Source organism: Homo sapiens, chromosome 10 (assembly GCF_000001405.40).
Source record: "Homo sapiens chromosome 10, GRCh38.p14 Primary Assembly".
Lineage (NCBI taxonomy): Eukaryota > Metazoa > Chordata > Mammalia > Primates > Hominidae > Homo > Homo sapiens.
The window spans coordinates 92,944,349-92,970,512 of NC_000010.11; the positions used below are offsets into that span (position 1 = coordinate 92,944,349).

Genomic DNA, 26,164 nt, shown 5'->3' on the forward strand with positions numbered 1-26,164 from the left:
GCCTCAGCCTCCCAAGTAGTTGGGATTACAGGTGTGCACCACCATGCCCCACTAATTTTTGTATTTTTAGTAGAGACAGGGTTTCACCATCTTGGCCAGCCTGGTTTCAAACTCTGACCTCAAGTGATCCGCCTGCCTTGGCCTCCCAAAGTGCTAGGATTACAGATGTGAGCCACTGTGCCTGGCTTGATACTGATTTTAATTCTTTTGGTTATGCACCCAGAAATGAGATTGCTGGGATCATATAGTAGTTCTATTTTTAGTTTTTTGAGGAACCTCCATCCTGTTTTCCATAATGGATATATTAATTTACATTGCCACCAACAGCGTGCAAAGGTTCCCTTTCTCCACATCCTCACCAACACTTATCTTGTGTCTGTTAGATAATGGCCATTCTCACAGCTGTGAGGTGATACCTCGTTGTATTTTTTTTTTTTTTTTGAGACAGAGTTTCGCTCTTGTCGCTCAGGCTGGAGTGCAATGGTGCAATCTCAGCTCACTGCAACCTCTGCCTCCCAGGTTCAAGTGATTCTCCTGCCTCAGCCTTCCGAGTAGCTGGGATTACAGGCCTGCACCACCACGTCCGTCTAATTTTGTATTTTTAGTAGAGATGGGGTTTCTGTATGTTGGTCAGGCTGGTCTCGAACTCCCGACCTCAGGTGATCTGCCTGCTTCCGCCTCCCAAAGTGCTGGGATTACAGGTGCGAGCCACTGTGCCTGGCCAGCCTTGTTGTATTTTTAATTTGGATTTCCCTGATGATTAGTGATGTTAAGCTTTGCTTATTCCTGATCTGTATACCTGTTGGACATTTTTGTGTCTTCTTTTGATAAATATCTATTCAGGTCCTTTGCCCACTTTTTAATTCAGTTATTTGTTTTCTTCTATTGAGTTGAGTTCCTTATGTATTTTGGATACTAACTCCTTATTATATGTATCAGATATATATCAGCAAATATTTTCTCCCAGTCTGTAACTTGCCTCTTCATTCTGTTGTTTCCTTGCTGTGCAGAAGCTTTTTAGTTTGATCCAGTTTATTTGTCTACTATGGCTTTTGTTGCCTGTGCTTTTGGGGTTATATTTTTAAAAATCATTATCTAGACCAATGCCATGGAGCTATTTATATTCTTGATTGCCTAGCCCTAGTATAGTGCCTGACAGAGTAGGAACTTATACACGTTTATAGAATTTGGTTCTATAAACAGATCATATTAAGACTACATTAACATTCTTAGAATATAAATGTGCCTTTCGTTAAATTATCTCTTCTTCCATAGTAACTGGTTCCCTGGCATTTGTATAAAGTTAGTAGTTTATTGTCTTCTAGTAGTTACTTTCCCTGTAACTTGCCTTTTAACCTTTCATCATTTTTATTTTTATTTTTAAAACAGAGACAGCATTTCGCTGTGTTGCCCAGGCTGGCCTCAAGTGTTCTGCCTGCGTCAGCCTCCCAAAGATTACAGGTGTGAGCCACCTCATTTAGCCCTGCCTTTTAACGTTTTACTTTATTTTTAAACTCTATGTAGAATGAAATAGAATTAGTGAAAGTAAATACCAAAAAAGTAATTTTTGTATTTTTTGGTAGAGCTGGGTGTGGTTGATTAGTGGCGCACACCCTGTAGTCCCAGCTACTCAGGAGGCTAAGGTGTAAGAATCGCTTGAGGCCGGGCACGGTGGCTCACGCCAGTAATCCCAGCACTTTGGGAGGCCAAGGTGGGTGGATCACCAGGTCAGGAGATTGAGACCATCCTGGCTAACACAGTGGAACCCCGTCTCTACTAAAAAAACAAAAAAAAAAAATTAGCTGGGCGTGGTGGCCGGCGCCTGTAGTCCCAGCTGCTCAGGAGGCTGAGGCAGGAGAATGGCGTGAACCCGGGAGGCGGAGCTTGCAGTGAGCCAAGATTGCGCCACTGCACTCCAGCCTGGGTGACAGAGCTAGACTCCGTCTCAAAAAAAAGAATCGCTTGAACCCGGGAGGCTGAGGCTGCAGTGAGCCGAAATTGCACCACCGCACTCCAGCCTGGGCGACAGAGTGAGACCCTGTCTTAAAAAAAAAAATTAAAAAAAGTAAAGCTTTCATTTATGCTACTTCCTTTCTACCCCTACTGTTGCAGCTTTAATTCAGATCCTCGTCACCTTTTATTTAGATTATTCTTCAGTTTTTCTAAGTGATCTCTCTGTGTTCATTATTAGGCTTTTTCCAGTTTATCCTTCACACAGTGAATATCTTCCTATGACATTCCCTTTCCTAAAACCTTTTAATGCCTACAGAGTGAAATCTGGATGTCTGTTTGCACACCTGTCCAATCTCATTTTTCACCATGTCCCTCAGACTTTATACTTTGTAATACTGCACTACTTGTGGTTTTACACCCCCCCACACACTAACGCTCACTCCTTGTGCCTTTGCGTATATATTCCAGTGGTCTAGAATGCTTTTCTCCCATAATCTCTTTAGAAATTTTTTTCATCTGTAAAGACCCTACAGGACTACTCACTTCTCTGTCTAACTTTCCATGAGATGTTCTTCACGTACTCTGATAGTCACTTCCTTCTTTGTCCTGTTTCTGAACCTTGTACTTCTTGTATTGTATGTATAGCACAACATTATAGATGTTATAATTTGTTTGTGTATCTATCTCTCCTATTAGATTTCTTGTGTTTATTGTCATGAGGTAGGGAATTGTCATCACAGCCCAGAGCCTAGCACATAATAGGTGCTCAATAAATATTAATCAAAATTATTTAATTAAAAGGAAATCAATGATTGGATGACAGTTACGTTAGGACAGCCTAGGTTATGCTACAGCAACAAAAATTCCCCAAATATCAGTGGATGAACATGTTTTATTCCTCACTCACACAGAAACCCACGATAGGTTTCCTAGTCAGAGATACAAGCTATTTGCATTTGTGATTCTAACTTTTCAACGTGTTGTCTTCCTTGTCACCATGGGAAGGAGGTTTGCACAATTGGCTCATAAAGGCTTTAAACTCAAAGCAACACATGTCACTTCCATTCACAGCCCAATGGCCAAAACTAGTCATATGGCCCTGCCTAACTGCAAGGGGGTGTACAGAAGAGCACATGGATATTTGATGAGTAGTAACTGTTTCTGCGTCACCAACTATAAAAGATCCATTTCTAATCATGACATTATGAGAGGCTAAGCAAATGTAACACATTGTTTTGATCTTCAAGAGTTTATAATCTCATTGGGAAAAGAGAAGACACAAGATACACAGCTTGAGAATTATTCCTATCAAGAATTATGACAGGAGGCTGGGCACAGTGGCTCACGCCTGTAATCTCAGCACTTTAGGAGGCCGAGGCAGGCAGATCATGAGGTCAGGAGATCGAGACCATCCTGGCTAACACGGTGAAACCCCTTCTTTACTAAAAATAAAATTAGCCAGGCGTGGTGGCACGCGCCTGTAGTCCAGCTACTTGGGAGGCTGAGGCAGCAGAATCACTTGAACCTGGGAGATGGAGGTTGCAGTGAGCCGAGATCACACCACTGCACTCCAGCCTGGGTGACAGAGCGAGACTCTGTCTCAAAAAAGAAAAAATAGAAAGAATTATGACAGGAATACTTTCCATTACGTGGATCCTTTTTTAGTTACAGATAATGAGCTTGTTCAGAATATATCACCTTGAGAATTATTCTAGAATGGAAAACTAAAGTGCTGAGAGGTTGTAAAACAAGCTAGTGGAAAAAGGAGATTGTACCTGGATTTTGAGGGACAAGACCTATTTGTTGTTGAATTTTAGAATTCTGGATGCTTAGGCAGTATCTTCCTGTTTGGACCTTTAATAGACAAGTAAAAACTGCTTTTGTAATAGTTGGGGTTTTTTAAGGTATTGTCTTTTAGTACTCTAATAATATGCTTTGTAATGATAAGTTTTCAATTTTCCTTTCCTAACAGGGACATTTTTGAAGAAGATAATTACAGCCCCATCCCTGTTGTCAATGAAGAAGAATATAAAATTGTCATCAGCAAATTTCCCTTTCAAGATCCAGACCTTGAAAAGGTACAAGCTAGTTTTTAATTCAAGGATTTTCTTAAAAATAAATTCATAGTATTTGTTACTACATAATATTAAATATTAAGCTGAGACTGTAAATAACAGTGGTTTCTTGAGGGGCAACTTTTTGTTGTATTGAGAAAACTAACTATGTTCTGTGAAGTTTTAAAGAGTATGTTATTACTACTACTACTACTACCACTACTACTACTACTACTACTACTACTACTACTACTACTACTACTACTGAGATTTCGATGACGTTAAGAAGAGACTTTCCTGGGCCTACTAGAAGTAGTTGCCCCAAATGTTAGGTGGATTCCTAGGAGAGGTGTTACTAATGTTGGGTGGATTCCAAATGAAAAGTAGATTTATAGTAATAAGAGTATATCCTAGTGAAAGAGACAAGAATTTCTTTGAATTGTTTATCACTGTGGAAGATTTAAAAGAAGTACACTTTTACAAAAAGTTTATATTGGTTAAATAAGTGATATGTGAAGGCAATAGCTACCTGTAGATTTCTTCCTGAAGTAGGAATATTTATGTTTGGAGTCAAGATAACAAAACACAGGGTAGAGAAAGGAAGTAGACCAGCCATGTAGGAGATTCTCAGAATGCACATGAATCCATGTGTATGTGCATATATACGTGCAAACATGCACCCTTGTACCTACCCAATATCTTTGAGTAGAATTAGATCTCATTAGAAAAGGATGTCATTTTAACTGTAACTGTCACTTTTGTATTCTCTTTATTCTTGTTTTTTTCTCCTTACTCTTCTTTATTATTTTCCCAACTTTTTGTAATTCAGTACCTTTCTACATTTTTATCACTTCAGCATGAGCAAGACCAAATTCTGAGTGAATCATGACTGTAAATTTTTGTTGTATTTTTATACATAAACTAAGCATATTATGTGTACTAGTCACTAAATACAGAACCAGGTAATTAAATGGATAGCTTCTAGATTGTAGCTAATGCCGCCATTGCATATACCTATTAGCTATGTTTTAATACAAGAGGCCAGAATAATTATTCTAATTCTGTATTTTTTGAAAGCCCAATGAAAGTTGTTCTGTCAAGAAATATCACCAGAATATTCTCTATCTCATGGCTTAGTTTTTTTTTTTTTTAGTTACTGGTAATGAGTTTGTTCAGGCTAGTGTCTATATAAAGAGCACTAGACTAGGTCTAGATTCATGTGCTAGCTCTGCTTGTGGCTTTTTTTTTTTTTTTGAGACGGAGTTTTGCTCTTGTTGCCCAGGCTGGAGTGCAATGGTGCCATCTCGGCTTACTGCAACCTCTGCCTCCTGGGTTCAAGTGATTCTCCTGCCTCAGCCTCCCAAGTAGCTGGGATTACAGGCATGCGCCACCATGCCCAGCTAATTTTGTAATTTTTTTTAGTAGAGACAGGGTTTCACCGTGTAGGTCAGGCTGGTCTCGAACTCCTGACCTCAGATGATCTGCCTGCTTCAGCCACACAAAGTGCTGGGATTACAGGCGTGAGCCACTGTACCTGGCTGCTTGTGGCTTATTATAGGCAAATGACTGAGCCTGTGTGGGCATTTGTGCCTCATCTGTCAAATGAGGAGTTTGAACTCAGTAATCTCTAATATCCCTTCCAATCATAATAGGTTTATAATTAAAAGGAAATTTAACTTTGCTTGCAGAGCATTTCTAATATATGCAGTACCTCTTAAGTTCTTAGAAGTTGTATTCATTGGTCTATGTATTACTCATTATTAAAAAGAAGAACTGTTAATAGTTAAAGTCACATGGAAAATTAAAATATGACAACTGAAAAATAAATCTCATAAATTATTTAATAAAGTCTTTTGGTTGTGTGTGTATATTTTTTCCTAGTTTAAGTATAATTTTCAATTAAAACTATTAGAAAATATATAAAACTATCAAATAACTTGAGTTATTTTCAACATAAATTATGAATGGAGGAGTAATAGTAAACATACATGCAAAAATGTTTTTGTAGATAGCTATGTTAATTTTATTAGAATCATTTGGCCAAAATAAGAACATATTTATATTCTGCCTTTAATATCATTAAAATAATTTCAAATATTTTTCATATACCTACTATATACCAGAAACAGTGCTATGTGCTAGATTTTCAGTCTTTGGTGTTAAGGAGCTTATAGTCAAGTGAGGATAGATAAAATAAATAAGAAATTATAATTCACAGAAGTTTGCATTGCTTAAGATAGGGGATGCACCATGCAGAAAGGCTGCATAAAGGTCAAAGTAGATGAAGTACAAGAGATGAAGCTCAAGAGATGTAAATTGGAGAAGTAGAAAGGACCAGACCATAATGGCCCTACTAAACAGTGTTAAAGAGTTTATCCTTTTTCCTGAGGGTTATGGGAAGCCATGAAAGAATTTTAAGTGGTAAAAACATAACCAGATTTGTGCTTTAGGAAGACCTATATGTGGAGAATGGATTGGAAAAGAGTAAGACTGGTGGCAGGGAGACCACCTAGTAGATTTTTGCATTTATCTTGATGAGAGAAGAGGGTTATGTAACCTGAATGGGGGTTATGGTCATTGAAGCTGATTTGAGATGCTTAGGAGGTAGGAGCAACAGGAGTTGCTGATTATGTGCATATGAGGGGTAACGGAGATAAAGGGGTCAAGTAAGATAACCAAGTTTCCACCTTGGATGGTGGCAGCATTCACTGTGATAAGAAACAGAAAAGGAGCAAATTTAGAAGAAAAAGATGATAATTTCACTTTTGGATCTATTGAGTAACTCATCTCAATGGTACAGCCAAATGGAGCTGTCCAATGGGTAGATACATGAATTTGGACTTAAGAGAAAGATTTGATCTGGAGTTGTAGATTTGGAGATATTGGTACTTGTATGGTGATTGAAGTCATAAGACCATATGAGATCATCCAAGAAAAGTATATGTAGTAGAAAGAGAGGGTTTAGGACAGAACCCTAAAGCACAGCAATAATTAAGTAATGGCTAGAGGAAAAGAAATAGAGTAGGTAGAGAAAAAGGAGGAAAACCAGTGTGGGCAGGAATCCAAGGAAGGAGAGATCATTTATGAAGTAGGAGTGGGTCAACTGTGTCAGATTTTTCAAAAAAGTCAGGTAACATGAGAGCTGAAGAAACCACTGGATTGAACAACTGTGAGATCACTGGTGATCTTGGTGATGGTACTTTCACCGATATAACAAGGTTGCAATGAAGGTGAAGATAGAAGGGTATATTAGACTTACTGAAATAGAAAAGAGGGTTTTTTTAATAACAATCTTGGAAGGAGTTTACCTTTTAGAGACTGAGAATTTCAAATGCATAATGACTTACAAAGTAGTTTAGCCAGGAAGGACCCTGTAAGCCATTGGCTGCATACCAGTGTTTAATGGCATGGAGGTCAGAAACCTGCTATAAGGTATTCTAGGAGTTACGGAATAAACTCGATAACTTCTTGAATTGGCATCAAGCCTTCACTGAAGGTAAATGAAGGGAGTCTTAGAATTATTTAATGACTCTGAGCCAGAAAGCTGGCCTATAATTTTCATGGCCACCCTGACTCTTGTATGATAAATACACAAAGAAGCAGACAGCCTAGGCATTGCCTACAGACAGAATACTCATCACCAGAATACTCATCATCAGAATACACCAGAGGTATTGGTATGTGTTTTCTCTGCTTGTTGGAAGTCTGATAATATGATTTAAGAAACAAGGGTAAATTGCCACATTATTTTCTTCAGAAATATTTTGATAAAATATCAAAAATGTAGAAATATAACAGAGTTTTTGATGCAGGTATTTGCTATTCAAGTGTGAAATCAATTTAATTTTACATTTTTTAGTGATTAGCATGTCTTTTTCTAAAATTTCAAAAACAATATTAACTTTCTTTTTCTACAGCAGTCTTTCCCAAAGAAATTCCCCATGTCTCAGTCAGTGCCTCATATTTACATTCAAGTTAAAGAATTTATTTATGCCAGCCTTAAATTTTCAGAGTCACTACACCGGAGGTGAGTTTACTAATCACAAATGCATTTTTGTCATAACTTTTATGAAACATTAATACTTTATTTTTATGCCATAACTTTTTTTTCCTCAACTTTTATTTTAGATTCATGGGGTACATGTTTGTTATAGGGGCATATTGTGTAATGCTGAGATTTGGGGTATGCTTGAACGTGTCACCCAGGTAGCGAGCATAGTACCCAACAGGTAGTTTTTCAACCCCTGCCTCCCCTTCTTGTAGTCTCCAGTATCTGTTGTTTCCATTTTTACATCCATGTGTACCTAGTGTTTAGCTCCCACTTACAAGTGAAAACATGCAGTATTTGGTTTTCTGTTTCTGCATTAGTTTGCTTAGGATAATAGCCTCCAGCTGCATTCATGTTGCTGCAAAGGACATGATTTTGTTCTTTTTTATGGCTGTGTAGTATTCCATGGTGTTTATATACCACATTTTCTTTATCCAATCCAACATTGCTATCAATGGGGAGGTGCTACTGGAACTAGTAGTGGGTAGAGGCCAGGGGTGCTGCCATAGACACCTAGGTTGATTCTGTGTCTTTACTATTGTGAATAGTGCTGTAATGAACATATGGGTACATGTGTCTTTTTGGTAAAATGATTTATTTTCCTTTGAGTATATCCCCAATAATGGGACTGCTGGGTTGAATGGTAGTTCTTTGTGTTTGTTTTTGTTTTTGCTTTTGTTTTTATTTTGTTTTGAGACAGGAACTCACTCTGTTGCCCAGGCTGGAATGAAGTGGCACAATTATGGCTCACTGCAGCCTCGATCTCCTGGGCTCAAGTGATCCTTCCACCTCAGCCTCCCAAGTAGCTGGAACCACAGGTTCGCGCCACTGCTCTTTGCCAATTTTTGTATTTTTAGTGGAGATGAGGTTGTGCCATGTTGGTCAGGCTGGTTTTGAACTCTTGGCCTCAAGCAATCCACCCACCTCAGCCTCCCAAAGTGCTGAGATTACAGGCACAATCCACTGCGCCTGGCCCACAGATTTTTAAAAGTAGTATTTTAATAAAAAGTAAAAGGATGCAAAAATGTTAGCCTGTATCTAAGGCAGTAGTTCTCAACTGGGGATAATTTTGGTTCTCCTGCCACCACCTCCTCCCCACAAATTTGGCAATGTCTAGAAACATCTTTGGTTGTTACAGTTCAGGGGAGAGGTGCTACTTGAAACTAGTGGATAGAGGCCAAACATCCAAATGTGCAGGACAGTCTCCACGACAAAGAATTATCCACCCTAAAATGTCAATAGTGCCGAGATGGATAATCCATGGTCTACAGACAGTTTAACTGTTGTGATAATGAGGCTGTATCCAAGAAATCATTATTTACTTAAATTGAAGACCGAATGGTTAGGAGAAGAGAATTTGTTTTTTAGTGCTAGCTTAGTAATACTTAGGATGTTAAGAAACATCATATTAAAATTAGTTTAAGGTAATTTATTTCTTTGAAGACTTAAAAAATCAATGAAAATGGATAACTTAGTTATATTAAAAATTAAATTTGTTTATTATATCTAGAAAGAGCTCATATCAGTTTGTATTTTAAAAATAATTTTTAGCTATAGTTGTGTATGAAGTTTCTTTCAAAGTGACTGTCTTTTGGGGCTGGGCGCGGTGCCTGACGTCTGTAATCCCAGCACTTTGGGAGGCCAAGGTGGGAGAATTACTTGAGTCCAGGAGTTTGAGACCAGCCTGGGCAACATAGTGCAACCCTGTTTCTATAAAATATTTGAAACTAGCTGGGCATGGTGGCATGCATCTGTAGTCCCAGCTACTCAGAATGTTGAAGTGTGAGAATTGCTTGGGTCCAGGACTTTGGGGCTACAGTGAGCTATAATTGCACCACTGTACTCCAGCCTGGGTGACAAAGTGAGACCCTGGCTCAAAAACAATAATAAAAATAATAAAACAACAAAGTTACTATCCCATGATGGAGTCGGAATTTAGGAATAATTTTGTTTCCTTATACCAAGTCCTCTATGATTTTTCTGTGGTTGTTAATTGGATAAATTTAAATTATGCCATATATGAATATTCTACTTTATGGAAAATGTCCCTTTTGCAAAGTTAAATTGAAGTTTGTGATTTAATAAATATGGGTCTTTGTAGTTTATTTAAAGATATAAAATAATGATGGGGAAAATTATTTTAGTAAACTGTGTTAAATTATTTAGGATGTTAACTAACCACATTCATTATTTATTAAGTTTAATAATATCAATCTTTGTTTTTAGCTCAACAGAAATAGACGATATGCTTAGAAAATCAACAAATCTGCTGCTGACCAGAACTTTGAGTAGCTGTTTACTGAACCTTATTAGAAAACCTCATATAGGTTTGACAGAGGTAGGTTAAAAAGACACATATAGTGAAATGTTTCATTGTATGAAACAATTATTTTAAATTATTGCTGAACGTCATTCTGTAAAACTAGCTTCCTGTTTTAAATGTATTAATATAAGCAGATTTGTTTTCAAAATAAAAACACCAGTGTAAATTCCAGAAATGTGAGGATCCCAGGCACAGTGGCTCATACCTCTAATCCGAGAGCTTTGGGAGGCCAAGGCAGGAGGATTGTTTGAGGTCAGGAGTTTGAGACCAGCCTGGGCAATATAGTGAGACCCTGTTTCTACAAAAAATGAAGACTATTAGCCAGGCGTGGTAGTGTGCAACTATATTCCTAGCTACTCTGGACTTGAGCCCAGGAGGTTGAGGCTGCAGTGAGTTACAATCATACCACTGCACTACACAGCCTGGGTGACAGCAAGACCCTGTCTCTGGAAGAAAAAATAAAAAAATGAGGGAAAAGGGTTCATATGGGGAATAGTAGATAAAGATGTTAGAATATCTATTTAGATTTCTGATTGCCAGACTACAGGAAAAGTCACAATCCTAATTTTTTACTTGCTAAATGTTTAAGATTTGAAACATACTATGAAAAGTTATTTTAAAATAACTGGTATTTAGACTCTTGGTGTGTGTGTGTGTGTGTGTATATATATATATATATAAATTCATACGCAGTATTTGCAACAGGCTTTTAAAATCAGATAGTTGTATCCTATAATGCTGCAATTATGTAGAAATGGTACAGTTGCTGGAAGTAATAATCCCATTTTTAAAAATTAGGTGATTTTACATACATGTAACCTGTATTTTACTAGATATATCTTGTGTTTTCTAGCTGGTACAAATCATCATAAACACAACACACCTGGAGCAAGCTTGTAAATATCTTGAGGACTTTATAACTAACATTACAAATATTTCCCAAGAAACTGTTCATACTACAAGACTTTATGGACTTTCTACTTTCAAGGTATGTAAAAATTTGACCAAAAGTTTTCATTTCAGTCACTGTAAGCAGACGTTAAGAAATTAAAGACCGTTCTTATATATGCAAGATCTACTATATTCCTAAAAATTAAGAATAGAGGTATTCATTGTCAACAATGAGCAAGTAAATGTCAGTTTCTTTTTGGCACTGTAAACATCTTATTAACATGGAGAAAAGTATACTTATTTTCTACAGTGTATTATGCTTTGTTCATGTTTTGATGATTTATAGTAGTGCTGACTAGGTCTAACTGAATTAATATTTCACAGTTTAAAAATTAATTCTATATGAGTGTTTATTTTTGAAAATTTAAAATGTAAGACAAATTAAAAAAGGATAGATTTGTTTTCCATCCTTGATTGGTTCTGATCTGAAGAAAAATAAATATTATTACATGTCATTGAAGTCCTACCTCTTTTGCGGGTGGAAAGATTTCTGTTTGAATAATATACAGAATATACTGAGGATTAATTAATGGTTGTTTTAGGTAGAATGTAAGATTAAACAATTTCATAAGGTATTTTATTATTTGGAGTCATAGATGAGACACTGGCTTAGTCTAGTGTGTATAAATCCCCTTGAATTGAATATTTTATTAAACTAATGATAAACCATGTACTGATCACTTATCTGTAAAATGGGCTTGCTAATTTAACCTTACAGCTCTTTCTAAAAGTTTCCTATTAAAAAGAATTCTCTTTAACTACTTTTGTTATATTATCAATCACCCCCAAGATTTTATTGTAGTAACTTGCATTGTAAAAAATGAATGTACTTGTGTTTTAAAATAACTAATTTAGTGTTAACATTTAACCATATGTTGCAAGTGTGAAGTCCACAAACAACCCTGGGATCCTAGAATTACCTGCTTGGCCCCCAAATATTATGCTCCTCTGGTGACTCTTGATCTCATGTAGTCATTTCAATACATAAGACACAAATGCAGAATGATATCTGAATCAGCAGACTTATAAAATTAGCTATTAAAACTTAGAAGCCTAAAAAAGCAGGCATTCATTTATTCAGATAATATAGTACAGTGATTAAATTCATATACTCTGAAGTTAGATTGCTCTGTGACCTTGGGCAAGTTCTTTAATGTAAATGATTCCAGGTTTCTTTATCTATAAAATTAGAGTAACAGTACAGTACCTACCTCATATGATTATTATGAGGAGTAAGGAAGATACTTAGCCCAGAGCCATTCACTGTATGTAAGTCAGGCTCTGAGCACTCTGTTTAGACTCTGAGAATACAAAAATGTATCCCTGCCCTCAAGAAGCTCAGAGGAGGAAAAAAATAATAAAAGACACTTAACAATATGGTATAATAAGTATGATAATATAGGAGGAGATGCCACAAGTTTTTAGTTACTTATTTATCCAAGGACAAATTGATTGTTAGCTTTTATGTTAGATTTTACATAATGCCTCTACTTTCTCTTTATTGTTCTCTCTGTCCTTACATCCATCTGTTACTGATACCCTGTCAAGAAGGGATTTCTCAGGCTTAGAGTTGCAGGCATATTTAACTGTTAACATTACTTTTAATATGCTTACCCAGTACCCTCTGATTAAAACATGAATTGCCTTAGCATCTTGTGTTTCTAGGGATCTTCAAGTAATTATTCTTATCGGTCATAAGCCAGAGAACCAAAGATACTGGAACACAATGTTCTTAGATTAGGGGATCTTGGAACTGCTTTTCTCAAAATCTGCCTGTTGGGAAAGAATGTTTAGAAATGTTAGCTCTGGTTCATCATTCCAGAGTTGAAGCCATAACTATCATTGCATACTCCTTGGTGTATTTCCTTGGAAATCAAGTTCTGCTCTGTAAATAGCAAAGCATCTTTGTTTTTTGTTGTTTATTTGTTTGTTCTGTTTTCACACAGAACTCAGTAAATGCTTTTCTGTTTTCTAATATGTGAGCAAGAGCTGTTTTCATCTTAAGATTTGAAGGTCAAGTATTTTTCAGTTCTGTCTTTTGGTCTATTTCAAGAGGAATTTGTCTCTAAATGTGATAAGGGGAAGCATTTCAACAGGGAGGATTGTTAAATCAATATTAAAGTGAATTACTGAGGGACACTGGGGAATTTCCATTCATAGTGAATAGTCTGTTACCTCTTTCACAAAAACGATTGAAGTACAGTCTTGGCTGTAGACATTTGATTGGATTATATAGCCTCTTAGCCTGATTTTTTTTCAGTTCAGTGACCCTAGAAAACATCTTTCTATTTGATTGCTTAATGATTCTGGAAACAAGTACTTGATACCTATACCTCCATTTGCTTCCCTTTCAAAAACTGCATATGCACACACAAGCTACCTGATCTTGTGTCATAAGTATTTATGTTATGAAATAGCATATAGACTGTTTTGTTAGCTTGTTTGCTAACTCTGTAAGTGATATAAAAGAGGTTCAATAAGTAGTTCCTACCCTCAAGCAGTACCTCAGCTTTTTGAAAGTAACTCAGACCCAATTAGAGAACTACTTAAAGCTAATATAAGTCTTCTCCTAACTGGAAAAATTTGCATCAGTATAGAAGAAAAAAAATGGAAATACCATTCCCTTTCTAACTTGTGTGGTAGAGAAATAGTCCAGTTCTTTCTCTTTGGCATCAGGGATCTTTAACTTGGCTCCAAGGAGCTTTTCCAGCCTGCTACTCTGAAGAGTTGTCTTTTGAGTCCTGGCAGTAATTGCAACTGTAAATGCCTAGAAGAAATGCACTTCTGATTCTTTTTCTAACTTGCCTTTTTTTTGTTTTTGTCTGCTAATGACTATGTAGCAAAGCCTTTTAGGATTGTGGCTGAAGTGACAGTAGTAAATTGTCTTTAAGGGCTTGAAATTCTCTTCTTATGGAGCAAGGACATGGTACATGTCAGTTCTTCCCAACTTGATCTACAGATTTAATGTATTCCCCATTAATATCCAAGCAAGTTTTTCTATGGATGTTGACAAAGTGATCTTTAACTTTATATGGAGACAGAAGACCCAGAAGAACCAACAGAGTATTGAAGAAGAACAAAGTTGGAGGACTGATACTACCCATCTTCAAGACTTACTATAAAGCTGTAGTAATGAGGCTGGGTGCAGTGGCTCATGCCTGTAATCCCAGCACTTTGGGAGGGCGAGGTGGGCGGATCATGAGGTCAGGAGATCAAGACCATCCTGGCCAACATGGTGAAACCCTGTCTCTACTAAAAATACAAAAATTAACTGGGTGTGGTGGTGCGCACATGTAATCCCAGCTACTCGGGAGGCTGAGGCAGGAGAATCGCTTGAACCCGGGAGGTAGAGGTTGCAGTGAGCCGAGATCATACCACTGCACTCCAGCCTGGCGGTAGAGTGAAACTCCGTCTCAAAAACAAAACAAAACAAAGCTGTAGTAATGAATAAGATGTGGTATTGGACAAACAACAGACAAATAGATTAATGGAACAGATTAAAGACCCCAGAAATAGACCCACATAAATATAGTCAACTGAATTTTGACAAAGGAGCAAAGGTAATAAAATGTAGCAAAGATAGTTTTTCAACAAATAGTGCTGAATCAACTGGACATCCACATGTAAAAAAATGAATCTAGACCAGACCTTACACCCTTCACAAAAACTGACTCAAAATGTTTCACAGATCTGTATGTAAAATGCAAAATGATAAAACCCCTAGAAGATAACATAGGAGAAAATCTAGATGACCTTGGGTGGGGCAATGACTTTTTAATTGGTCTTGATTGTTCCCCAAAGGAAAAATCCATGATAGAAATAATTGATAAACTGAACTTCATTAAAATTTTAGACTTCTGTTCTATGAAAGACCCTGTCAACAGAATGAGAAGACAAGCCACAGAACTGGGAGAAAATATTTGAAAAAGACTTATCTGATAAAGGACTCTTGTCTGAAATTGCAAAGAACTCCTAAAACTCAATGAGAAGAAAATGAACAATTGATTTTAAAATGGGCCAAAGACCTTAACATATACCTCAGCAAAGAAGATACAGAGATACCAGATAAGCATATGAAAAGATGTTCCATATATATGTCATAAGGGAAATGCAAATTAAAACAACAGTGAGATACCACTACACACCTATTAGAGTGGCCAAAATTCAGAACAATGACAACACCAAACGCTGACAGGGATGTGGAGCAACAGAAGCTCTTACTCATTGCTGGTGGGAATGCAAAATGCTACAGCCTCCTTGGAAGACCATTTGGCAGCTTCTTAGAAAGTGAAACGCAGTCTTACCATATGATGCAGCAATTGTGCTTCTTGGTATTTATCCCAAGGAGTTGAAAACTTAGGTTCACCCAAAAACTTGCACATGGATGTTTATAGCAGCTTTATTCATAATTGCCCAAACTTGGAAGCAACCAAGATGTCCTTCAGTAGGTGAATGTATAAATAAACCCTGGTATATCTGGACAATGGAATATTATTAAGTACTAAAAAGAAATGAGCTATCTAGCCATTGATATAGAGGAAACTTAAATGCATATTATTAAGTGAAAGGAGCCAGTCTGAAAAGTCTACATATTGTATGATTGCAACTATGTGACATTCTGGAAAAGAGAAAGCTATGGAGGCAATAAAAAAATTAATGGTAGCCAGGAGTGAGGGAGTGGTGGAGGGATAACTAAGTGAAGCACAGAGGATGTTTAGGGCAGTGAGACTATTGCTCTAAAAGTATGTAATTGTGTATACATGCATCAAAACCCATAGAATGTAAAACACTGTGAGTGAATCTGGTGTACACTGTGGACTTTGGAATTTGTGGGGTATGTAGTAAATCTCTGTACTTTCTGTTCAGTTTTGCTGTTAACCTAAAACTACTCTAAAAAATAGTCTATTTAAATTGCAAAAAAAAAAAAAAAAGGCGAACACACTTGTAACTATGAGGTCAAGAAATAAAGCATTACTAGCACCGTAGAAGCCTTCCTCATTCCTCTCCTTTGTCACTATCTTTTTTCCTCTCAGTACTGACTTTTAACGGCACAGAGTAGTTTTGCCTTTTTCTGGGTTCTATTTAAATGAAATCATACAGAGTGCATCTTTTTGTGTGTCTGACTTCTTTTACTCAGCAGGAGTTGGGGTATTTCATTTGTGTTGTTGTATGTAGCTGTAGTTTATTTATTTTGAATTCAATATGGTATTCCATGATAGAATTTACTACACCTTATTTATTAGTGTGAACTGTATCACTTTTGGCTATTTAGAAACTTTTCTTTTGCTTTCATCCTGGTTATTGACTGGATACGTGACCTTTGACAGATGTTATGGTATGGGTAAAATATAATTTATTTAATTTTTAGTAGTAAAGATAGAAATTCAGGAACTGGCATAAACATTTAGAACTAATGAGGTATTATTGGCAGTTTAAAATTTTTTCATTTTAATTATAATGTTTTGTTGTTTTATCTATGTAAAGCTGATGTATTGCTTTGTGAAGGTACTTGCAAAATTACGCCTTGACTGATTAATTGCATGTCAGCTTCTGATTACTTATATGCTTTTTTATTGATGGAGTGTTCCTTTGTAAAATTCATTTTATTGTGTATGCAATTTGATTGCCATTTTAAAAAGGCAATGTATATGACATTTATTTCTTTTGTCATCCTTTACCACCAACTTCTTTTCTGGTCTTCCCCCATTAGAGAGGACTGTATAAAGCAGTTTTATGCTTACAGCTGATTTAATACATTTGAATGACATAAAATCCTAAAAGGTAAGTTAGAAAACAACCAAAAGCAAAAGCAGATTGGGTAACAAATATATATGGGATAGAATAAGTAATTGTAGGTCCCTTCGTAAATAGAACAGAAAAGTAAATAAGGGACATGCTACTTTGCCAAAAACATAAAAGGTAACAGGAAAAATAAAAACATTTTTTCAGTTCTGTAAACAAAAGAGGAGGATCAACAAAATGTAGAGACCTCAATCCTCATAGATAAGAGTGCTCCGCTTTCTGTTTTTTTTTTTTTAATATCATCAGTAATCAGTTAATTATAGAAAATGCCACTTATAAAGATCATGGAAAGCAGAAATAGAGTAGGGAGATAAATGGTTGAGGACTACTTTAAAAAGCTATTTATATCAGATGATTTGCAAACCTGATGACAAACAACCACTTAAGGAGTGGCAGATGCTACCACAAAGCCACTAGTCATTATTTGTGAACACTTTTGAGGTACAAAAGCCCCTGAAAACTAGAAAGGTAAAAATGTAGCAGCCACTTTTTAAAAAGGAAAAGGAGATAACTTAGGTAATCGGAGAATTAGAGGAGTAGTTAGTTTACAGTGACCTGTGACAATCTCAGATAATCCAAAGACTGGATTTTGAATTATTCCAGATAATTGATTATAGCTCAGAACCCATATTTCCCTCTACAAGTGAGGTAATTAGCAGGTGGCTCTATGAGAGATTTAGGTTATTCTAGGACAGGCTACTTTGATAAAGAACAAGAAATGAAATATTCTGTCTTGTCTAAAGTAAGGCTTTGATTGTGTCCCAAAAGATAGTCCTGTAAACAAAGCAGTAATTCCTTAGATGGTTCTGTCTAAACTGAGTGTCATTTTTCACTTGGGGGTATATGTTAAATGATGTTTATTAAGCAAAAATGTATATATAATGTAATGTAAAAATGTTAAAAATATATATATATATGGTTTTTTTTTGAGACAGGGTCCCACTCTGTCATCCAGGTTAGAGTGCAGTGACTTGATCCTGGCTTACTGCAGCCTCAACTTCCTGGGCTCAAGCAATCCTCCCACCTCAGCCTCCCAAATAGCTAGGACTACAGGCCCATGCTACTACCCTGGCTGATTTAAAAAAAATTGTTTTGTAGAGACAGGGTCTAACTGTATTGCCCAGGCTGGTCTCGAACTCCTGGACTCAAGCAATCCTCTTGCTTCAGCCTCCCAAAGTGCTGGGATTACACGTGTAAGCCGCTGTCAGGCCCTAAAGTGCATTTCTGTGGTACTGTGCTAATTGCTGAGGGGAAGATATGGAATGGTTCTTGACCACTAGGATTCTTTTAATCTAGAAGAGCAGATAACTACAAACAAATAACAACAGTGTGTAATAGTAGATGAATTTGGTCCTGTAGACATGTTTGATTTGGTTTTGTGGTTTTTCTAAATGTTTCGAATTTGCATACCTTTAGATGAGACTTAAACTCTATAATGATCCTGCCTACGGTAAATACCCTGCCTGCCATACTTATTCTTGTTACCTGCCTGGACCCTGAAGGCATTTAAGTATTTGTATCAGTTTGGAGCATGGGTAAGATTTTAATCAGCAGAGATGAGGATAAGGAAGAATTGGTATAAACCCATGCACAGAAGGCAGAAAGCTGAAGTTATATTCAGACATTCAGATAATGACCCAGAAGATGGAATATAAAATCATATTTATTCATCTTATGTTAATAAGGATGCTTATTTTTGGTTTAAAATAATGTTTGGTTTACATGTGTTTTGAATGTATATTCTGGGGAAAAATGTAATTTCTTCTAGAAGCAGTTAGTGTCAGTTTCCTTTACTTAAATTTCGATCTTCAGCTGTATCTGGGCTGTAGCTTTTTACCTAATACTTCACCTTGCATTATCTAACTCTCTAAGAAGTACTTTGTATTTCCCTCTGAAAATTGTTTTTGGTATAATTAACATAACTCTTACAGTAACCTACCTTTGTAATAGAACATTTAGTATACTATTTGTGACCTGCGTACTTTAGAACTATGATATTATTAATCTCTGGCTTATAGTCCATGATGACTGTATTTCTTTTTATAAAGAGCAATTTTTTTTTTTTTTTTTGGATCATGGCTCACTGCAGCCTTGAACTCCTGGGCTCAAGTGATCTTCCCACTTCAGGCTTCCGAGTAGCTGGGATTACAGTTGCGTACCATCTTACCTGGCCGATTTTTTAAAATTTATTTTTTGTAGAGATAGGGTCTCACCATATTACCCCTGTTAGTGTCAAACTCCTGGGCTTAAGTGATCTCCTGCCTCAGCCTCCCAAAGTGTTGGGATTATAGGCGAGAGCCTCTGTACCCAGCAAGATAATCTTTTAGAGAGATTTCTAGAACTTTATGATACTTCAGTTCTTGTAATTCCTACAAGCTTTTCATGGCTTTTAACTTTTGATTTCTTAGTTCATTATGGAGCAGATCTTGAGCTTTGTTTTACCCAGAGTATTGATCAAATGGTAATCTGTGATTTGCATGCGTATAAGGCACAATACATATCCTAAAGCCTAATACTCTTTTTTAAAAAAAAAAAAATCACAGTAATATATAATGAAAAAACCTGATGAAAAGTAACCAGGTGAATTAGTGCTTTTTGCTAATTTAATGAGATGCTTAGCACACAAATCCCTCTTTTATTTTTTGGTTGATTTTTAAGTACTAAATGTAAAGAAAATAATAAAACAAGAATATAAAGAATAAAACAACTTCTTTTGATTGCCACATTAACATCTAAAATAAATAATGGAAATTATATATATATTTTTAAAAAATTATAATTTATTGGCTTCTCTGGCCATTTTATTATACCTTTTCCTTCATTATAACTAAATACTATTAATAAATTATATTGGTTAGTCTTATTTGCTTTTTCCCTTCTGCATTAGTAGTGACATTGGATAATGAGTTGGATGCTATATGCAGTGTAACTAACATTAGAAATGTTTAGGTCAAGATAATGGATTATTGGAATTTTGTTTATTAGAGCAGGAAGAAGTTAACTAGGGAGGACACCTTTATGGTGATAGCTCTAACTTTATCTATTGCCTACATATTTGAAGCCCATAAAAATATACATGTATTTCCCTTGCTTTAAATGAGCAAAATTAAATGTAACTTTTTTCTTAAATATTGAATAAATGTTTCTATTATAAGATAGTTGTATTAATCAGGGTTATTAACAGAAAATTGACAGGAACTGATAGAAAAAGCAACTCAAACTTTCTTAAACAATAAAGGAAAAATTATTGGCCAGTGACACTGAGATGTCCAAAGATAGGGCACTGCTGCTCAGTAGATGTCACCATGGATCCAGAGTCTCTCCATCTTTTAACTCTGCTTTATGCAATTTTGGCCTCATCGTCAGACTACTTATAGTGGCCCAGCAGTTCCCAGCAGCTCTAGGCTGTCTCAGTCTGGTAGCAAAATGACTGCCTGCTCACAGTCCCAAACCTCACATCGTCATGTCCTGTCATCTAAAGGAAGAGAAACTGTCTCCCTCCACCAGCTGCTGTATAATTTTTTTGTAAGAGGATGGGACTGGTAATTGACTTAAACTTAGCAAGACCCAACCTTGGAGCTAGGTATCAGTTCAGTCTTACCCAAATGAGATAGCTGTGAATGGGGGCAGGGTGATTTTCCAAAATGTATTTAGGAATTATTCCAAGAGGGGGAATGGACAATAGACAGTAAATCGTATATGTTTACTAAAATCTTTAGCTATTACTACTTAGCTTTTATTCAAAACACACATGTTTATGCTCCAGGAGGTCTAGGTGGAATTTGTGCATGTATATGTTTTAAAAAGTTCCTCAGGTGGGTTCTGTTGCACACCTATGGTTGGGAACCACAGATAGTATATTTAATTCTTACACATTGAAATTTTTTTTAAAAGTTCTCAAATTATGCTAGATACATTTCTGCCTCCAGAGGGCACTATTTCCTTAACAAACAAAGGAAGAATTACTTTGTTTATAAACTGAATCCTTACATTTTATTTAAGAGTTAGCTGATATGCTGACTAGAATGTCAAGAGTTGATAATGCTCTTGACCTCCTGGTAAGGTCATAAGATTGAGAATATTCTGGGTTCAACTGTAGAACTCCCGAAGAAGTTCTAACTAATTTCCTTAGCAATTACTAAATCGTTAGTAATCATTAGTAATCATCTCTTAGGAATGTCTTACCAAATAATTTAGTGTATTCCTATGTATAACTACAGGAAAAGTTACATTGAAAGCCTTTTCTATCTTTTCTTTCTATCCTTGCTCCCATTTCTTTAAAAAGAAAATATAGTGAGCCAGTTCATGCAGCTATAAAGATCAGACACATATGTTTTCTAATGATTATATTTGTCTGGATTATAAAATAAGCAGAATTCTTAGTCCTTAGAAAAGTCCTTTCAACTGTTGACTTTAATCATATTCCTGCTCGGGAGTGCTGTCTGAAATTTTTCTTTGACACAGTACAGCCCGTGATTCCCTGACATAGATTTATTTGCTTCCTATTATAGCCCGTGGAAAGCATTAATAAACCTTAAAAAATATTAGGTACCCTTCCCCGAAAGTTTTTTAACATCTTGAGAAAAGGTTATTTTAACTTAGATATTTTATGGGAAAAGTGGAACCTGCTTGTGGTGTCACCTCAGAAAAACAGACTTATCAACAAAGTTCTAGTGACAATAACAAAAAGCAATAAATAAATTTTTATGTTTTCCCTTTTATTTTTGCTTAGTTCCTTTTAGAAAGTGGTGTTTTCTGAACCACTTTTTCCCTAAACGTGGTCTAGAAAGCATGTAATTATAATTATTATTATTATTATTATTATTATTATACTTTTAGGGTACATGTGCACAATGTGCAGGTTAGTTACATATGTATACATGTGCCATGCTGGTGTGCTGCACCCATTAACTCGTCATTTAGCATTAGGTATATCTCCTAATGCTATCCCTCCCCCCTCCCCCCACCCCACATCAGTCCCCAGAGTGTGATGTTCCCCTTCCTGTGTCCATGTGTTCTCATTGTTCAATTCCCATCTATGAGTGAGAATATGCAGTGTTTGGTTTTTTGGTCCTTGCGATAGTTTACTGAGAATGATGATTTCCACTTTCATCCATGTCCCTACAAAGGACATGAACTCATCATTTTTTATGGCTGCATAGTATTCCATGATGTATATGTGCCACATTTTCTTAATCCAGTCTATCATTGTTGGACATTTGGGTTGGTTCCAAGTCTTTGCTATTGTGAATAGTGCCGCAGTAAACATACGTGTGCATGTGTCTTTATAGCAGCATGATTTATAGTCCTTTGGGTATATACCCAGTAATGGGATGGCTGGGTCAAATGGTATTTCTAGTTCTAGATCCCTGCGGAATCGCCACACTGACTTCCACAATGGTTGAACTAGTTTACAGTCCCACCAACAGTGTAAAAGTGTTCCTGTTTCTCCACATCCTCTCCAGCACCTGTTGTTTCCTGACTTTTTAATGATTGCCATTCTAACTGGTGTGAGATGGTATCTCATTGTGGTTTTGATTTGCATTTCTCTGATGGCCAGTGATGATGAGCATTTTTTCATGTGTCTTTTGGCTGCATAAATGTCTTCTTTTGAGAAGTGTCTGGTCATATCCTTCGCCCACTTTTTGATGGGGTTGTTTGTTTTTTTCTTGTAAATTTGTTTGAGTTCATTGTAGATTCTGGATATTAGCCCTTTGTCAGATGAGTAGGTTGCAAAAATTTTCTCCCATTTGTAGGTTGCCTGTTCACTCTGAAGGTAGTTTCTTTTGCTGTGCAGAAGCTTTTTAGTGTGATGGTGTGAATGGTTTTGTCATCATTTAAAATTTTCTTCTTTCAGATAAAAATAGTGTTTTTTCCCTCGTGACTTAAAAATTTCTAGATATTTGGTCTCTACCACCCCCTCAACTTTTGGTTAATATTTCAATTGTCCCATATTGCTTTTTTAAATCTAGGAAAATGTGAACTAACATCTTTATTTTATTTTAATAAAATTCTATAAACTAAAAAAGAGAATTAAAGCTGGATTTAAATTTGGTTTTAATAAAATACCCAGTTTTATATCAATCTAAAGTTAACCAAGTACTTTAGCTCTGTAAGTTTGGAGGAGGGGAGCTTCTTGAATCTGGCTTTTAAAAGCTTGTTATGCATCTTCTCTTCCTGCCTATATTAGAGGCATCCCAAAAAAGCAAAAGAAATCATAAATAGTGGTCTGAGTGCAGATAGGAAATGCAGCGAAAGATAGGAGCAATCAGACTCTCAATTTTCTTTGCCTGGCGATAGAAGGGAAGCAGGTTGAGTATTTATGAGATGATTGTACATAGTTCTGAGGTTTAGGGTTCTCTTATCCAGCTGCCTTCTGGAATTACTGCCTCTCTTCAGTTGTGTAGTGAACTATATTCATCTGCTTAGATTCAGTAAATGTAGTGAGACATGAATGAGGGAACTGATTATGAACACTGGGGCAAAATGCAAAATGGTAAATACATATTTTTATATTGCTTTGAGAAAATTGACTTACAAATGATGTCATTAAGGTGTGTTATCTTTAGTTCTGTAGGTCATAAGCATTTACCATCTTAGGTACCTGCCCCTAATGTTAATGAAGTTAAAGAGAAATAGGTGTTACTGCCATGAATTATACATGTTAAATATGACACCCCTTTCCACTGGTTAGTGTTTCACCTTTTTTTTTTTTTTTTTTTAAAGGCAAGGTCTTGCTCTGTCACCCAGGCTGCAGTGCAGTGGTGCAATCGTAGCTTACTGCAGCCTCAAACTCCTGAGCTCAAGCGATCCTCCCACCTCAGCCTCCTGAGTAGCTAGGACTATAGGCACAAGCCACCATGACCAGCTAAACTTTTTATTTTTTGGTAGAGACAGAGTCTCACTATGTTGCCCAGGCAGTTATTTAACTCCTGGCCTCAAGTGATCCTCCTGCCTCAGCCTCCCAAACTGCTGGGATTATAGGCATAAACCACTGTGCCTGCCATGTTTTACATAAAAAAAATTCTGTTAATGTTTAATACCCATTTTTTTCTCCCTTACGTAAAAATAACTACACTAAGTTAAGCCAACTTGGGCAATTTGGAAGGCTTGGAATTGTGATATATTAATAGTCTCCATACAGTTCTTTTAGTAAGACATTTATTGAGCATTACTAGGTAAAAAAACATAAGTAAGTATAAGAAAACTAATTTGTTTTAGCCCCTTCTGGGTGCCAATTACTGTTAGGTACTTTGTTTTAATTATAGAAGCTTGTATAATGCTCAAAACAGCCCTGTGAGATGGGGATGATTCTCATTTCATAAATAAGAAATTAAGTTAATTTGCTTAAGATGTAAAGATAAGTGAAATAGTGGGAATCAGACACCTTCCCATTTTCCCAAAACCGTTTTGTTTTTTTCTATTAAGTAAGTGGAAGTATTAACCCATATTCTTTATGAGTCATTTCTTCGTTACTCATTATTAGCAGGAATGGATTTTTTAAATGGCTACAAATTCCTTGACACTTCTCTCATTGAGAAGTGGGGACCTGTATCCCCTTCTCTTGATCTGGGCAGACTTGTGACAGCTTTGACCAAGAGAGTACAGTAAAAATCATTTGAGACTTTAGACTTCTGAGGCTAGGACATAAAAGGCAATGTGTTATTGCCTTTATTCCAAGCATGGAGCACACATGCTTGGAGCCCTGTGCTGCCATGTAAGAAGCCCAGTTACTCTTTAGCCACTTTAGTGCTTTGAGGAAACACTAAAGTGCTTGGCTTTGAGGCAGCCAAGCAACATGGAAAGGCTACCCATCCCCGGTGCCAGACATATGAGTGAGGAAGCCTCCAGATGATTCTAATCCCCAGCTATTGAGTCTTATTGCCAGCCTTCAAGTCTTTTCCAGCTGAGGTCACAGATGCTGTAGTACAAAGTCATCTCCACTGTTTCCTGACCCATAGAACCTGTGAGTATAACAAAATATTTGTTATTTTAAGCCACTAACTCAAAAATAGTAACTGGAACAGCCACCACATAAATACTTCTTCTAGATTCCTATTTTTCCATATCACCATGTAGCTTTTCCTCCATGAAACCCTATTTCTAACCAACATGATCTCTTCTTATTTGGTATACCTTTACTATACATGTAGTTAGTATTAATTTGTGCATGTTTATTCATTTTGGGATTATTGTATTTTCTTTCTTTTATTTTTATTTATTTATTTTTTTGAGATGGAGTTTCACTCTGTTGCCCAGGCTGGAGTGCAGTGGCGCGATCTCAGCTCACTGCAACCTCTGCCTTCCGGGTTCAAGCAATTCTCATGCCTCAGCCTCCTGAGTAGCTGGGATTATAGGCGTACACCACCACGCCCGGCTAATTTTTGTATTTTTGGTAGAGACAGGGTTTCACCATGTTGGCCAGGCTGGTCTCGAACTTCTGACGTCAGGTGATCCACCCACCTTGGCCTCCCAAAGAGCTGGGATTACAGATGTGAGCCACCGCACCTGGTCGACTATTGTATTTTCTATCCTTATCTAGATTTTCTGTCCTCAACTAGATTATAAACTTTTTTCAAGACAGGGGTGATTTCCTTTTTTCATTTAACAAGTGCTCATCTACTGCTTACTATGTGCCAAGCACTGTTCTCGGTGCTAGGGATATATCAGTGAATGAAAACAGACACACACTTCCTGCCTTCATTCCATATCTCTGGGTTCCCCATCTTGGATTCAGCCTATCATAGATCAAAAATATTTGGAAGAAAAAATGCGTGGTGCATCTGTACTGAACATGTACAGACTTCTTTTTCTTGTCATTATACCCTAAACAATACAGTGTGACAACTATTTACATAGCATTTACATTGTAGTAGGTGTTATAAGTAATCAAGAGATTGTTTAAAATATACAGGAGGATGTGTGTAGATTATATGCAAATACCACACCATTTTATATAAAGGACTTCAGCATCTGCAGATTTTGGTATCCGAGGGAGATCCCGGAACCAATCTCTTACCAGAGGATGACTGT

At 36.6% G+C, this 26,164-nt stretch overlaps 1 protein-coding gene across 12 annotated transcripts in view; it reads left to right on the forward strand.

Annotated features, from left to right (window-relative positions):
* EXOC6 (exocyst complex component 6) overlaps window positions 1-26,164 on the forward strand; it is a 232,660-nt gene that overhangs the window by 117,518 nt on the left and 88,978 nt on the right. For 8 of the 12 annotated variants that reach the window (NM_001013848.4, NM_001319194.2, XM_017016348.2 and 5 more), the window contains 4 exons: window positions 3,926-4,031; window positions 7,925-8,034; window positions 10,282-10,393; window positions 11,232-11,366. In NM_001013848.4, coding sequence (NP_001013870.1) covers window positions 3,926-4,031; window positions 7,925-8,034; window positions 10,282-10,393; window positions 11,232-11,366 — 463 coding nt within the window. The remainder of the gene's footprint in view (window positions 1-3,925; window positions 4,032-7,924; window positions 8,035-10,281; window positions 10,394-11,231; window positions 11,367-26,164) is intronic. The other 4 variants (XM_017016344.3, XM_047425369.1, XM_017016346.3 and 1 more) reach the window with 1 other exon arrangement.